The sequence below is a fragment of the Homo sapiens genome, chromosome 3, assembly GCF_000001405.40.
Source record: "Homo sapiens chromosome 3, GRCh38.p14 Primary Assembly".
NCBI lineage: Eukaryota > Metazoa > Chordata > Mammalia > Primates > Hominidae > Homo > Homo sapiens.
The window spans coordinates 54,627,178-54,643,649 of record NC_000003.12 but is presented as its reverse complement, the minus strand read 5'-3'; the positions used below and the strand labels follow the sequence as shown (position 1 = coordinate 54,643,649).

At 45.0% G+C, this 16,472-nt stretch overlaps 1 protein-coding gene and 1 long non-coding RNA gene across 2 annotated transcripts in view, besides 3 other annotated features; one reads left to right on the top strand and one right to left on the bottom strand.

Annotated features, from left to right (window-relative positions):
* Positions 1-16,472, bottom strand: part of CACNA2D3 (calcium voltage-gated channel auxiliary subunit alpha2delta 3) — a 952,006-nt gene that overhangs the window by 430,908 nt on the left and 504,626 nt on the right. The window contains exons 10-11 of the mRNA NM_018398.3: positions 15,774-15,863; positions 1,409-1,522 (exon numbers count right to left, since the gene is read on the bottom strand). Coding sequence (NP_060868.2) covers positions 1,409-1,522; positions 15,774-15,863 — 204 coding nt within the window. The remainder of the gene's footprint in view (positions 1-1,408; positions 1,523-15,773; positions 15,864-16,472) is intronic.
* Positions 3,262-4,188: an enhancer, noted in NCBI's record as "OCT4-NANOG-H3K27ac-H3K4me1 hESC enhancer chr3:54673489-54674415 (GRCh37/hg19 assembly coordinates)". NCBI's record gives its function as "activates a minimal SCP1, AML or CMV promoter by ChIP-STARR-seq in naive and primed H9 embryonic stem cells {active_cell/tissue: H9 hESC(naive and primed)}" and the evidence as "EXISTENCE:reporter gene assay evidence [ECO:0000049][PMID:30033119]".
* Positions 3,793-11,526, top strand: ESRG (embryonic stem cell related). The gene is made up of 4 exons (NR_027122.1): positions 3,793-5,959; positions 9,085-9,189; positions 9,910-10,091; positions 10,843-11,526. It is a non-coding gene; the product is annotated as an embryonic stem cell related (long non-coding RNA).
* Positions 8,316-8,816: an enhancer, noted in NCBI's record as "OCT4-NANOG hESC enhancer chr3:54668861-54669361 (GRCh37/hg19 assembly coordinates)". NCBI's record gives its function as "activates a minimal SCP1, AML or CMV promoter by ChIP-STARR-seq in naive and primed H9 embryonic stem cells {active_cell/tissue: H9 hESC(naive and primed)}" and the evidence as "EXISTENCE:reporter gene assay evidence [ECO:0000049][PMID:30033119]".
* Positions 8,817-9,319: an enhancer, noted in NCBI's record as "OCT4-NANOG hESC enhancer chr3:54668358-54668860 (GRCh37/hg19 assembly coordinates)". NCBI's record gives its function as "activates a minimal SCP1, AML or CMV promoter by ChIP-STARR-seq in naive and primed H9 embryonic stem cells {active_cell/tissue: H9 hESC(naive and primed)}" and the evidence as "EXISTENCE:reporter gene assay evidence [ECO:0000049][PMID:30033119]".

The window sequence follows — 16,472 nt, the reverse complement described above, 5'->3', positions numbered from 1 at the left end:
CCACATGAACTACTGCTGACATCTAATATAACCCTGTCTAAGAGTGAACCTCCATCTACTTCAAGGGTTGGACTGAACTCAGTGTTTATGGTTGATCAAATTTATTCCTGGATATCCTCTGGGCAGGAGACATCTCAGAATCCCACATAGTCAGCTCAGCACCGCCAGCTTTTTCTCCAGCTTCAGAGGTGATGGCTCTTTTCAAGACTGGATAGCAGGGGAAGGAGTTGGCACCCATTTGGGGACCATGTTGCACAAAATGTACGTAGTCTTAAAGACCAGGCTCACACTTGGTGAGGTGAGATGGCAGTGATAGGTGTGGACCAACAGTGACTAAGGGAATATAGAAAGACACCTCCCATCTCATGTTCAGAGTATGTGCTCCCTAGATAGAGTTGAGGACACAGCTGTCATTTGTCTCCCGTTTCTTTTTACCAGTGTGTTTAATTCCCAGAAATTAAGTATGCAAAACAGATAAAGCAGTAAGGACTTGGCCTGGACTGACTCGTGTACCTATAGACAGTCAGGATAACACTACTGGCACATGCAGTAGAAAAACACCTTTGTGATACCCCCAGAAGAGCACCCACTTTGATGTCTTTTCCCTGCTAAAATTCCACCATTTAGGTGAGACAGTGACCACCAATTGTCAGTCTACTGGCTGGTGCCCACTGAGAAACTTGTTAAAAACATGGATTACTGAACCACATCCCCAGAGATTTTGCTGCTGGAGGGGTGGGGTAGGATACACATAATTTTAAAGATCTCCCCAGGGAACTCAGGCAAGATAACAGCTTGAGAAACCTCTGAGTTCAGGCACTCAGAATACACCAAAAATATTAGTATCAGTCAATTAATAACCTCACAATGGCCTCAAAAGGTTAATAACTGTCAACGTGGAAAGCAAAGGCAGGATCAGAATAGAGAACAGACAAGTTCTGACAATGGTGAAGAACAGCAGTGGGAGATAGAGAGAAGTTTCTGGGTGGTAATGGGGGCCGTGGGAGGAACTATACAAACACAATATGTAAAGGAGAGGCCTGCAGGGCTACCATGACTGATTTCACCATTGTATAGATGCTGGGCCCAACATGCAGCTCTGCCTCAAGGGCAAATAAAAATAAAGAAAAGCACAACCCAATATGGATGAAGCACACTTCACAATGAATCTTTTCACAGAATACGTCCACTATGTCTTTACAAGTTTCTTCTCTCCTCCAAAAGTTTCATTTTTTGAAAACAAGAAAAGCCGGTCTTCAGTTTTGGTCAACCAAAAAACACAAGGCTGAGAAACCACAGATCATTATGAGATTAAGTCTACATGAGGCACTTACTCATGGACAAGCTGGAGATTACAGTAAAGATTCTCAAGGAGTCCACCGCACAGACGGGATCAGCATCAACTTACCTTTCGATCTGGCCAATTGTATTTTGCAAAGATTGTATCATAGGTGTCCACCGCCCCATCAGTTATGAGCATGATGGCCTGACTGCAGATACTTCCTTGTCCCGTGTGGTTGAACTAGGGAAAGAAATAAGTTCAAAATAGTATACATATCAGAGAATTCTGTGTATCAGTGAAAAATCAGAGACATGAGACCTGGGACTAAGGAAGCCTTTTAAAATGACAGCACACTGTCCACCACCAAAACAACCTATACAAAAAGTCTTTCCACACAGATCACCACATTTGCTCTGACAAATTGGATCTTTAAGCCAAAAATAAAATTCTAAGCCCTCCAACCAACCGAACAGACCTTACTGTTGGCCAAGGGAATCCCAAAGAAATCTGAAAAAGTACTTCAGGCCATGCCAGGAAGTGGGGGAAGGGTCAGACATACCTGGTTATACCCCCTCCCTTTGGAGTTTTGGGAGAACTGATCAGCACTAATGTTAAAACCACAATCATAAGACTGACAAAACAGACTCTTTGTAGCAATAATATACAAAATTCCAACCTGACTCTGGCATAGCACTGAAAGGCAGATAGTAGGCCCTGAAGGAAATCAAGGTATTTTACTCCAAAATATATTTATTTATTTGGAAATGGTCATATAAAGTCTTCTCCTGTGGGGGATATTTGCATTCGCTAGAGAATTTCCTTCCCTTTCTAGGTCTTTTCCTAATCCAGGAGAGATTCAACTAAGACTTTGACATCTTTTCAGGTCTGAAAAGAGATATTTGCCATCTATTCTCTCTGAAGCCTGCCACTTAGAGGCTTCATCTACATAACAAAACCCTGGCTTCCACACCCCTCTTAACTCAAGGATTTCTTTCTGCTGACTTCAACTCTTCATGCAAAGCTTAATTCTTTCAACCAACTGCCAGTCAGAAATCTTTGAATCCACCTGTGACCTGTAAGTGTCCCCTATCCCTTTGAAATGTCTTGCCTTTCCAGGCTAAACCAATGTATACCTTACATGTATTATGTCTTTGCCTGTAACTTCAGTCTCCCTTAAATGTATAAAACCAAGCTGTAACATGACCACAACTTAGGCATATGCTCTCAGGACCCCTTGAGGCTGCACCCCAGGACACAGTCATTCATATTTGGCTCAGAATAAATATCTTTAAATACTTCATCGAGCTTGGCTTTTTTTTTTTTTTCCAATAGATCCAAATACAGATCACAGGGGGATTTCAAAAAATACACAAGAGGTGGGAAGGAAGAGTCTAGGATTGCACAACCTCTCTTACCTTCAGGTATGGACTGTGTTTTAGGAAATAAGCCCAAAGGAGTTGGCACAGAAATGTTTTAGGAACACATTATACAAACAATGGGCTACTTGAGAGACAATATCTCTTTCAAAATCTAAATGAGGCTAGTTCGGGTGGATCTGATGAGTACAGAATGCAGCATATAATAAAATCAAGGAGGTTTTAGGCATATAGGGAGAAAGTCAGTAACATGACAATTCACTTGAGAAGCCCAAGTATTTTCTTAATAAGGGTTCATTTCAAATTTATATTGTTGGCATGTAAACTTACATATTAGTTTATACGTTAGCATGTATGGCATGCTGAAGTTCTAAGATTGCGCTCACTGGTATGTAAAACCCTAGACTTCTTCAACTTTCAGCTTTATGTAAGATTTTAGCAGCTCTCAGCCTTTGTGAGTGGTAGGCAGCTAGAGTGACTGAATATGGTTGCCAGAGCAGAATGTCCTTCCCTGGAATCGGGGTGAAAAATTCCCTTAATTAATGCTATTAATGATGCAATTGAAAGTAATACCATGTCCTTTAAAATCCCTACAATTACATGTCAATGCTGCGAGATGGGAAACACATACAAAATCTTCAACCTTCAGTAAGTAAAAACCTTCTCTATTAAAATCTGCAAAGTGTATTCATTTGTTCTAAAATTATTTGCTAAGTGCCCACACAGCACTAGGAATGAAACATAAAAAAATCTCTTCCCTCACTTAGCTTCGTATTCTCTTTGGGAATGTCAGGCCTCTGAGCCCAAGCCAAGCCATCGCATCCCCTATGACATGCACGTACACGCCCAGATGGCCTGAAGTAACTGAAGAATCACAAAAGAAGTGAATATGCCCTGCCCCACCTTAACTGATGACATTCCACCACAAAAGAAGTGTAAATGGCCAGTCCTTGCCTTAACTGATGACATTACCTTGTGAAAGTCCTTTTCCTGGCTCATCCTGGCTCAAAAAGCACCCCCACTGAGCACCTTGCGACCCCCCGCTCCTACCCGCCAGAGAACAAACCCCCTTTGACTGTAATTTTCCTTTACCTAACCAAATCCTATAAAACGGCCCCACCCTTATCTCCCTTCGCTGACTCTCTTTTCGGACTCAGCCCGCCTGCACCCAGGTGAAATAAACAGCCTCGTTGCTCACACAAAGCCTGTTTGGTGGTCTCTTCACACGGACGCGCATGAAATTTGGTGCCGTGACTCGGATCGGGGGACCTCCCTTGGGAGATCAATCCCCTGTCCTCCTGCTCTTTGCTCCGTGAGAAAGATCCACCTACGACCTCAGGTCCTCAGACCAACCAGCCCAAGAAACATCTCACCAATTTCAAATCCGGTAAGCGGCCTCTTTTTACTCTGTTCTCCAACCTCCCTCACTATCCCTCAACCTCTTTCTCCTTTCAATCTTGGCGCCACACTTCAATCTCTCCCTTCTCTTAATTTCAATTCCTTTCATTCTCTGGTAGAGACAAAAGAGACATGTTTTATCCGTGAACCCAAAACTCCGGCGCCGGTCACGGACTGGGAAGGCAGTCTTCCCTTGGTGTTTAATCATTGCAGGGACGCCTCTCTGATTTCACGTTTCAGACCACGCAGGGATGCCTGCCTTGGTCCTTCACCCTTAGCGGCAAGTCCCGCTTTCCTGGGGCAGGGGCAAGTACCCCTCAACCCCTTCTCCTTCACCCTTAGCGGCAAGTCCCGCTTTTCTGGGGCAGGGGCAAGTACCCCTCAACCCCTTCTCCTTCACCCTTAGCAGCAAGTCCCGCTTTCCTAGGGGGCAAGAACCCCCCAATCGCTTATTTTCACGCCCCAACCTCTTATCTCTGTGCCCCAATCCCTTATTTCCACGCCCCAATCTCTTATCTCTGCGCCCCAATCCCTTATTTCCGCGCCCCAACCCTTTCTCTGCTTTTCTGGAGGGGAAGAAACCCCCACCCCTTCTCCGTGTCTCTACTCTTTTCTCTGGGCTTGCCTCCTTCACTATGGGCAAGCTTCCACCTTCCATTCCTTTCTTCTCCCTTAGCATGTATTCTTAAGAACTTAAAATCTCTTCAATTCTCACCTGACCTAAAATCTAAGCGTCTTATTTTCTTCTGCAATGCCACTTGACCCCAATACAAACTCAACAGTAGTTCCAAATAGCCAGAAAATGGCACTTTCAATTTTTCCACCCTACAAGATCTAAATAATTCTTGGCGTAAAATGGGCAAATGGTGTGAGGTGCCTGACGTCCAGGCATTCTTTTACACATCAGTCCCTTCCTAGTCTCTGTGCCCAGTGCAACTCGTCCCAAATCTTCCTTCTTTCCCTCCCGCCTGTCCCCTCAGTACCAACCCCAAGCGTCACTGAGTCTTTCTAATCTTCCTTTTCTACAGACCCATCTGACCTCTCCCTTCCTCCCCAGGCTGCTCCTTGCCAGGCCGAGCTAGGTCCCAATTCTTCCTCAGCCTCTGCTCCTCCACCCTATAATCTTTTTATCACCTCCCCTCCTCACACCTGCTCCGGCTTACAGTTTCATTCCGTGACTAGCCCTCCCCGACCTGCCCAGCAATTTATTCTTAAAAAGGTGGCTGGAGCTAAACGCATAGTCAAGGTTAATGCTCCTTTTTCTTTATCCCAAATCAGATAGTGTTTAGGCTCTTTTTCATCAAATATAAAAATCTAGCCCAGTTCATGGCTCGTTTGGCAGCAACCCTAAGACACTTTACAGCCCTAGCCCCTAAAAGGTCAAAAGGCCATCTTATTCTCAATATACATTTTATTACCCAATCTGCTCCCGACATTAAATAAAACTCCAAAAACTGGAATCTGGCCCTCAAACCCCACAACAGGACTTAATTAACCTCACCTTCAAGGTGTGAAATAACAGAAAAAAGTTGCAATTCCTTGCCTCCACTGTGAGACAAACCCCAGCCACATCTCCAGCACACAAGAACTTCCAAACGCCTGAACTGTAGCAGCCAGACGTTTCTCCAGAACCTCCTCCCCCAGGAACTTGCTACACATGCCGGAAATCTGGCCACTGGGCCAAGGAACGCCCGCAGCCCGGGATTCCTCCTAAGCCGCGTCCCATCTGTGTGGGACCCCACTGAAAATCGGACTGTTCAACTCACCTGGCAGCCACTCCCAGAGCTCCTGGAACTCTGGCCCAAGGTTCTCTGACTGACTCCTTCTTGGCTTACTGGCTGAAGACTGACGCTGCCTGATCGCCTCAGAAGCCCCGCAGACCATCATGGACGCCGAGCTTTAGGTAACTCACAGTGGAGGGTAAGTCCGTCCCCTTCTTAATCAATACGGAGGCTACCCACTCCACATTACCTTCTTTTCAAGGGTCTGTTTCCCTTGCCTCCATAACTGTTGTGAGTATTGACAGCCAGGCTTCTAAACCTCTTAAAACTCCCCAACTCTGGTGCCAACTTAGACAATACTCTTTAAAGCACTCCTTTTTAGTTATCCCCACCTGCCCAGTTCCCTTATTAGGCTGAGACACTTTAACTAAATTGTCTGCTTCCCTGACTATTCCTGGACTACAGCTATATCTCATTGCCGCCCTTCTTCCCAATCAAAAGCCTCCTTTGCGTCCTCCTCTTGTATCCCCCCACCTTAACCCACAAGTATAAGATACGTCTACTCCCTCCTTGGTGACCGATCATGCACCCCTTACCATCTCATTAAAACCTAATCACCCTTACCCTACTCAACGCCAATATCCCATCCCGCAGCACACTTTAAAAAGGTTAAAGCCTGTTATCACTCGTCTGCTACAGCATGGCCTTTTAAAGCCTATAAACTCCCCTTACAATTCCCCCATTTTACCTGTCCTAAAACCGGACAAGCCTTACAAGTTAGTTCAGGATCTGTGCCTTATCAACCAAATTGTTTTGCCTATCCACCCCGTGGTGCCAAACCCGTATACTCTCCTATCCTCAATACCTCCCTCTACTACCCATTAGTCTGTTCTAGAACTCAAACATGCTTTCTTTACTATTCCTTTGCACCCTTCATCCCAGCCTCTCTTTGCTTTCACTTAGACTCACCCTGACACTGATTAGGCTCAGCAAATTACCTGGGCTGTACTGCCACAAGGCTTCACAGACAGCCCCCATTACTTCAGTCAAGCCCAAATTTCATCCTCATCTGTTACCTATCTCGGCATAATTCTCATAAAAACACACGTGCTTTCCCTGCTGATCGTGTCCGATTAATCTCCCAAACCTCAATCCCTTACAAAACAACAACTCCTTTCCTTCCTAGGCATGGTTATAGTGCAGTCAGAATTCTTACACAAGAGCCAGGACCACACCCTGTAGCCTTTCTGTCCAAACAACTTGACCTTACTGTTTTAGCCTAGCCCTCATGTCTGCGTGCAGAGGCTGCCGCTGCTTTAATACTTTTAGAGGCCCTAAAAATCACAAACTATGCTCAACTCACTCTCTACATTTCTCATAACTTCCAAAATCTATTTTCTTCCTCATACCTGACGCATATGCTTTCTGCTCCCTGGCTCCTTCAGCTGTACTCACTCTTTGTTAAGTCCCACAATTACCATTGTTCCTGGCCCGGACTTCAATCCGGCCTCCCACATTATTCTTGATACCACACCTGACCCCCACGACTGTGTCTCTCTGATCCACCTGATATTCACCCCATTTTCCCATATTTCCTTCTTTCCTGTTCCTCACCCTGATCACGCTTGATTTATTGATGGTAGTTCCACCAGGCCTAATCGCCACATACCAGCAAAGGCAGGCTATGCTATAGTACTAGCCACTAGCCTGCCTCTCAGAACCTCTCATTTCCTTTCCATCGTGGAAATCTATCCTCAAGGAAATAACTTCTCAGTGTTCCATCTGCTATTCTACTACTCCTCAGGGATTATTCAGGCCCCCTCCCTTCCCTACACATCAAGCTCAGGGATTTGCCCCCACCCAGGACTGGCAAATTAGCTTTACTTAACATGCCCGAGTCAGGAAACTAAAATACCTCTTAGTCTAAATAGACACTTTCACTGAATAAGTAAAGGCGTTTCCTACAGGGTCTGAGAAGGCCACCAGTCATTTCTTCCGTTCTGTCAGACATAATTCCTCATTTTAGCCTTCCCACCTCAATACAGTCTGATAACAGATGAGTCTTTATTAGTCAAATCAGCCAAGCAGTTTTTCAGGCTCTTAGTATTCAGTGAAACCTTTATATCCCTTACAGTCCTCCATCTTCAAGAAAGGTAGAATGGACTGAAGGTCTTTTAAAAACACACCTCACCAAGCTCAGCCACCAAAAAGGACTGGACAATACTTTTATCACTTTCCCTTCTCAGAATTCAGGCCTGTCCTCGGAATGCTACAAGGTACAGCCCATTTAAGCTCCTGTATAGATGCTCCTTTTTATTAGGCCCCAGTCTCATTCCAGACACCGGACCAACTTAGACTGTGCCCCCAAAAAAACTTGTCATCCCTACTATTTTCTGTCTAGTCATACTCCTATTTTCCATTCTCAACTACTCATACATGCCCTGCTCTTGTTTACACTGCCGGTTTACACTGTTTCTCCAAGCCATCATAGCTGATATCTCCTGGTGCTATCCCCAAACCGCCACTCTTAACTCTTGAAGTAAATAAATAATCTTTGCTGGCAGGACTATGCTGAATTTCCTTAGGCACTCTCTAATCAGATGCCCTAGGTCCTCCCAATTCTTAGACCTTTTATACCTGTTTTTCTCCTTCTTATTCCATTTAGTTTTTCAGTTCATACAAAACCGTATCCAGGCCATCACCAATCATTCTATACAACAAATGTTTCTTCTAACAACCCCACAATATCACCCCTTACCATAAGATCTCCTTTCAGCTTAATCTCTCCGACTCTAGGTTCCCACACCGCCCCTAATCCCGCTTGAAGCAGCCCTGAGAAACATCGTCCACTCTCTCTCCATACCACTCCACAAAAATTTTCCCCGCCCCAACACTTCAACACTATCTTGTTTTATTTTTCTTATTAAGAAGGCAGGAATGTCAGGCCTCTGAGCCCAAGCCAAGCCATTGCATCCCCTGTGACCTGCATGTATATGCCCAGATGGCCTGAAGTAACTAAAGAATCACAAAAGAAGTGAATATGCCCTGCCCCACCTTAACTGATGACATTCCACCACAAAAGAAGTGTAAATGGCCAGTCCTTGCCTTAACTGATGACATTACCTTGTGAAAGTCCTTTTCCTGGCTCATCCTGGCTCAAAAAGCACCCCCACTGAGCACCTTGCGACCCCCGCTCCTACCCGCCAGAGAACAAACCCCCTTTGACTGTAATTTTCCTTTACCTACCCAAATCCTATAAAACGGCCCCACCCTTATCTCCCTTCGCTGACTCTCTTTTCCGACTCAGCCCGCCTGCACCCAGGTGAAATAAACAGCCTTGTTGCTCACACAAAGCCTGTTTGGTGGTCTCTTCACACAGACGCGCATGAAAGGGAAGACATACAAAAACAAGGTAAATAAGTAAACTACGTTATATGTTTGATAATGGTGATGTTAAGGGTGGGGAAAGAAGAAAGCAAAGAAGGATAAGAAATGGGAGGGGGCAATTCTAGAAACCATAGTCAGGGAAGACCTCACTGAGAAGGTGACATTTGAGTTATACCTGAGAGATGTGAGTATCTGAGGGAAAGATATTCCAGGAAGGGCAAACGTTAAGTGCAAAGGCACTGAGTGGGAGTGTGCCTGGCAGGTTCAATCTATTGAACCATGACACTGGGGAGGGATGGTGGCTACTCTTGGCTTTGCTGGCTGGCCACTGGTGAATGAGAGACGTAATAAAGCATTCAAATTAAAGATATTAATGCCTAGTCTTCAGGCACTTAGACATCTGATGTGGAGTCTGAAGTTGCAGTAACTTGAGAGAAGACCATACATAACTGGATAGATGCATAGATAGATAAATGGATGAATGGAATTGCCTTATGGCCATACTGAGACACAGCAAAGCCAACTCGAATCACGCACGGGGTACCATGGCATAGGGGAAAGCACTCGATGTCATCTCAGCAACACAGCTGTGTGCCTGGGATAAGTTTCCTTCCGGAGCTTTCATTCTTCCACAGACAAGATAAGAATAACATCCTTAAGTGGTTGGTACACCACAGGTTAAATGTTCAATGTTTGTTATATGCCAGGCTACGTGTATTAATACGAATTTACTTAATCCTTACAGGCCTCTGAGGTAGGTACTACTGAGACAGCCAGGTGGGAAGGACTCCTTGGCAAAACTCCAACCAGCCTGTACACTGGGAGGAATGTGCACTGGGATGGAGCCATAGAAGTTTGTGTCGTTTGCAGTGGGGAGGAGCCTGGTCCCTCCTCTTCCTGTGAGGAACCTGGAATTCAATCTGTGAGGTGGGAAGAAGCATGTACTAGCAGGACTAGTACCTGTTTCCCTTTTTTCCCTTTTTGCCCAATAAATCCGATTTTTCTTACTCTTCAAACTTCTGCAAGCCTAAACTTTCGTGGCCATGTGACGAGGATCCTGTCTTTAGCTGAGCTAAGGAAAAGTCTTCCAACGCTATCATTATCTTTATTTTACAGGTAGGAAACTAAGGCACAGAGAGATTAGCTAACTTGCCCCAGGTCACACAGCTACTATCTGACATAGCTGGGATTTGAATCCAGACCATCAAGCTCTAGAATCTACTCTCCAATTGAGCACACAATATGGCCTTTCAGTAATTCAGGAAGATCAGTAAGCAAATGGATAGGTGGTAGGGCTCCAAAAGTATTAATCTCCTCCTCCTGCCTCTACTTCCTCCATCCCTTTTAGGGTTTCAGGGTCACAGGGCAGTCACCAGGGCTGTGATCCTGAGGGTGAGTGCTCCTTACATGTGGTGCCCCAGACACTTTCCTCATCTTAGTCCTGGCCCTGGCAGCCACTCCTGCAACTCCGACTGCACATGTGCAACTGAGTTAATGAGCAGACGCAGCCCCTGACACTGTCACGTTAGTAGGTAGAAACACCTGGAAACTCCGCTATCACACCACAAAGCTTTCCACGCGACCACTATTCTACTGTCTTTATCAATATAACTTACTATTCCAGAAAATGCTTGCCCAGGAAGGTCAAACTCGGAAATAACCTCATTGCTTATTCCAGGAACTTCTTGAAAGACCCATCAATTCTTCAATAGAAAGCATCAAAGGACAATTTACACCCTAAGACTGAACCCCTGACCTCAAAATCTTTCCCTTGCTATGTTCACCAACCTCAACAGAAATATTAGGATTCTTACCTGATCCTAGCCAAGCCCCCTCCCTCATCTCCCATTAAAGGGTCCATCTTCAACCAAACTTAAGTCTCAATAAATATCTGGACATTGTCCTTCCAACTCTGGGAAGCTGCTAAGACTCTGTCCTTACTGCAGAAGAAAAAACAGCCTTGTACCCTGGTCTTCTCAACAGGTTGTTCTGGAGATGTTCTGGGGAGACTGCATTAAACACAGCTTCGCACCATTGAATAAACTCAGCAACAAGCCAATGCATAAAAGTAATCTATGCTTCAGGTCACAGAAGCTTCAAGGGGAAAAAAACAGAATACTCTAGGGCCATTGTTCACAAACTCATCTGAAAACATCCTGGAAAAATTTTCCCAAACACATGGAAAGAAAGAGAGGAAAAAAGAAGATATCTGAATAATGTGGACTAGAATAAAGAGCTGCCAGGAGCTGTTTATTTAAAAACAGTACTTTCTTCTCTGGCTGAGTCCCTGGTATTCTCTGCTGCAATCTGTAGCTGTAGAATTTTGAAGAATGCAATTAAATTCAAATGGTTTGATGAGTAATATCTTTTCTCTTCATATTTGTCTAAAACTTTTCTTTATTGAATAGCGAGAGTGATGAAAGTGTTTTCCATAATAATAACAATGACAAGGGCCTGATGATGAACTACAATTAGCTCAGTGATTCATCAGTTAGCAGTGAAATTTTCAATGCATCCTGACATTTAGAGCATTTGGTTGTGATTAACAGTCTTTGAAATGTCACCGAATTTTATTTAATTGGCTAAGAAAAAATTTTAAAAGGTAATCACTGCAAAGATCACATTCATCGCCAAAAATGATAATTGCAGTTGTCACATGACAAGGTAGATGCTAACTACTGTAGCAAACTTGCTCTGTGTTCTTACAGAATCTAATGAATGCAGCAGAGATCAAGAGCTTGAAGGGGCTTAGAAGTTTATTTGAATGCTCCTTTCAAAGCCATTTGTATCAAGAACTGCAAGCCTTTAAGTCATCTGAGCAAATACCAAAACTGAAATGCAGGTAACTGTAAAACAGAATAAACTCCATTCAATTATAGTAACCTCTGAACCATTCTAAGCTCCAGCCACGATCACAATTTTAAGCACGTGTGTGTGTGCGTGTATATGTGTGTGTTCAAGAAATAACTTTTTATTTCATATTGACTTGTAAAGGCAGGCATAATACACAGGAAGATAATAATATCACTTAAAGGTCATATTGATGAAGTAGAAAATATTAATAGACAAAGCTTCATTTTCATGGGAGATTAACCACCTCTGTGTTTGTCAAAGAGTTTAGCTATTTAAAAGCTCACTGGCAATAGATGATATGAAATGTTTCTCCCTATGAGATAAATGTGCACTCAAACAAATATAGTGTTAATCGCCAACCAATCTCAAGCTGGGACATTTTGTAACATTTATCTTTGTGTGTGTGTGTGTGTGTGTGTGTGTGTGTGTTTGATGGAGTCTCGCTCTGTCACCCAGGCTGAAGTGCAGTGGTGCAATCTCAGCTCACTGCATCCTCTCCCTCCTGGGTTCAAGCGATTCTCCTGCCTCAGCCTCCCGAATAGCTGGGATTACAGGCGCCTACCACCATGCCTGACTAATTTTTCTGTATTTTTAGTAGAGACGGGATTTCACCATGTTGGTCAGGCTGGTCTCGAACCCCGGACCTCTGGTGATCCGCCCACCTCGCCCTCCCAAAGTGCTGGGATTACAGGTGTGAGCCACCGTGCCTGGCCTATCATTGTGTTTTTTTAAAAAACATTTATTCGGCTTTTTGCTTTCCAAGATCTATATTCAGCTCATGTGGTTATCTGACTGACCAGACTCCAGAGGTATTTTTACAGGGGTATGGAGGGTTTTCCTGTTCAAAAATGCTTCCCTCACAAAGATTCAGGATAAAAAAGTCCACCATGTGTTGGTGATTTCTCTGGGTCTTAGTAGGCCCTGTGAAAGTGTGAATACACCTTCTTGGAGCATACAATATTATGCCCCAAAATGTGGTTGGTGAGCTGTAACTTCTACAAGATGCTAATACGGAGATGATGGTATGATATAAAGTGTTCCTGGGTTAGTAAGTGTGGTTAAACACATTTTTAAAGGTTTGTTCACTGCAGGACTTCTCAAGGCCTTTGATATGCGCAAGTACCTTGTGAGTCTGCAAGAGGAGGATGGCATCTCCTCACCTTGACCACAACCCCCATGTGGGAGTACCTTGGCAGGCCGGCATTAAACTGCGCATGCTATGGGAAATAGTGTCTTAGGAGGGTCTGAGAACAAAGGTGACAGATGGAAGGGATGGACAGAGAAAGGGTACCAGGGAAAGGAACAGAAAATAGAGGAAGGGGAGCAGACACTCCTAATGACTTGGGCAAAGAGAACCAAAGCATTTGTAGTGGGAGCTGTGTCTAGAGACCTGGGTTCTCAGTGGTCACAGAGGTGGCACTTCTCACCCAGCCCAGCACTGCTGAAAGGGAGCCAGGTCCTGCCTCATCAGGCTGAATCTCAACCCCACGAGAAAGGGACCACCAGGACCACCTCACGGGTGTGTGACATGCACAGCTGCACAAGATTACACTAAGAAAGCTCCGCACTTGGTTCAAGGCTTTGCTACCATTACCTTAAAATTCTCAATAACTGTGAACAAGAAACCCTGTAAACTCTGGCTGAGTCAGGCTTCTCAGCCCCAATCTGCCTTACTCCAGGGGCCACAGACTTAACCATACAACAATCTCCTAACCCTTTCTCCTTCGCCACTTAGGCCAGAGAACAGGGAAAGAGAAATTCACTGCAGGGAAGACTTCCAAACAAGGGACTCCACAGCTCAGAGAAGTCTCCCCCTGCTCTGGCCACTAGGTTTTTGAGATAAAACGAGAGGGAATTTTCAAACTGTAACAGGTCTTTTCAATATCACCACCTGGAAAGAGCCTGCTGAGATGCAGAGACCCAAGCCCTAAGAAGGCACCTGCCCAGCAGCCTAGTCCTCTGTCCTCGCCGGCTGTGTCACTAAAACTATTACTTTGCTGTCAACAGAGATGTACTGTCCAAAACACGGACTCTTACATAAATGTTTACATCCTGTAGCCAACAGCCCCTTGGAGCTCATTAGGTGACCGGGGCTTTGGATTTGTACTGAGGAAGTTGACTTGGCACCTTCTCTCCTTATTTTTCTCTTCTCCTCTGCAGTCATGACACTGGCTCAGGACTGAGATCTAAACAGTCATCTTCGTGGCAACAGGTATTATTGGTAAAAGAGAGTCTGGAAATTAGGGCCTAGCCTTTCTTGAGAGGCCAGTATAGCTGAGTAGTAAAAAGTCAAGTTTTGGAGTCAGGTGTAACTAACCCACAATCCAAGTTATGAACTGTGGAGTGAATGACTCACCTGCCTGGGCTTCTGCTTGCTCACCTGCAAAATGACAACAGCCTGCCCTACAGAGCTGCCTGCAGACCAACAGCAGCAAGGCCTTGGGAGTCTCTGCTGGTCTCCCAGCTCCTGCTTGACACCTCAAGATGATGTTGCTCCATTTAGTGCCTGTTTGTTCTCAGACTATCCCATGCCTTCTTCCTGCAAACCACAGCTCTCAAGCTCCCCAACAGTTTGACAAGGATCATACAAAGGGGAAAGGAAGCAAGGAAAGAATCAAGGTCTTTCTAAGCAATTTCTCTACGCTCTCAGGGGATAGGCATTTTCTGGCCGTGACTGTGTCTCCTCCATAGTTCCAACTTCCACAGGACAGGTCCTTCCCTCCATAGTCACAGTTCTTCTTGGGTAGCCTCCTCCACACTTCTGAATGGCCCATCTGAATGGCCACAGTGACTCGGCGCTGATGTCACCCCTCCTGCCTGTTGTACCCCCTGCCCTAGAGAGGAGATGCCTCCTGCTGATGCTAATCTGTGGATTGCTTCATTCTCTGGTTTCTCAGCTTTTCCATCCCTTATGCCATCAATTGCCCGAATTAAACTCCTACTATTTAAAATACCTAGAGTGGTTTTTATTTTTCTGCTTCTTAACATCTTCACTGCTATCTCCCTAGTCCAAGTCACCATTATCTTACCCAGATAACTTAATGGCCTCCCTGTTATTGTCCTTGCCCTCCTAGGGTTGCTTCTAAATACAGCAGCCAGAAAAATGCTGTTGAGTTCAAGACCATGTAGTTCTCTGCCTAGACCCTCCAATGGCTTTCCACTCCACAGTCAAAGCCCTCATTAGTGTCTCTATGACGCTACTCAATTTGGCTCCTGCTGCTTCCATGGTCTCATTCCCTAGCATTCTCTCTTCCCCACTGTGCTCTGGTTTGACCTCACTGGCTGGCATCTGGTTCCCTAGATGACTTAAATGGCCAGCCAGTCTCACTCTCCCGTCCCATGCCTATAGATCTGCTCAGTGTCAGCCAGAGCTGGCCCACAATTTTTTTCTTTTTCTATTTTTTTTTGAGACGGAGTCTCGCTCTGTCACCCAGGCTGGAGTGCACAATCTCGGCTCACTTCAAGCTCCACCTCCCGGGTTAACACCATTCTCCTGCCTCCACCTCCCGAGTAGCTGGGACTACAGGCACCCGCCACCATGCCTGGCTAATTTTTTGTATTTTTAGTAGAGATGGGGTTTCACCGTGTTAGCCAGGATGGTCTGGATCTCCTGACCTCATGATCCGCCCATCTCGGCCTCCCAAAGGGCTGGGATTAAAGGTCTGAACCACAGCGCCCAGCCTGGCCCACAATTTTCTAAAACAACACCCATCTATTCTCCAAGGGATGAGAAAGGCAAATCAAAGAGGAACTTACATCACTCAGAATGTTGAAGGCCTCATTCAGAGCTATATCCAACATTCCAATTCCTTTGGCGAAAAGTTTGTCCAGATGCTCCCTGAAGTGCTGAAACAGCAAAGCAGAAAATCCATTAGTGTCTGTCCTGTTATGTGAAACACCAACCTTGAATGAATTAGATGTACGCCATGGCAAGACCAATGATTGTCAGATCCAACCGGTCATAATTTACTTTTTCCTTCTACATTCAAAACATAAGAACTTACTCAATGTAAAACTTACCTTCAATATTCATGGTTTAGCTTCAGTTACAGTTTAGGAAGAAAATCAGTTGAACTCTGGTGAAAAGCATTTAATTCATCTAAAATTGCCACTTTCCTCTCCCGTTTCATCATTGGTGACTCTTTTCCTCTCCTACCCCTACTCTCCCGCTCCTGATCACATTTAGGACTCTGCATATGCACCCCTCCACTGGGAACCCACTCTCAATCCATTCCCTGGCTCTCCTGCCACGCCCTCTCCCACCCACTTTTCACATCTCATATGGGCATAACCCTCTTCCCACCGCATGACGTATTCTCAGAGCACCAGCCTCTAAGACTAGCCTAGAATGCTTCCTTTGTGACTCCATGCTGCCATCAGGTACTCAGATCCACCTTTCACTGAGCACTGCATAATTAAACTCTGTCCCCACCTAAGACTGTGACATTTCTTAAG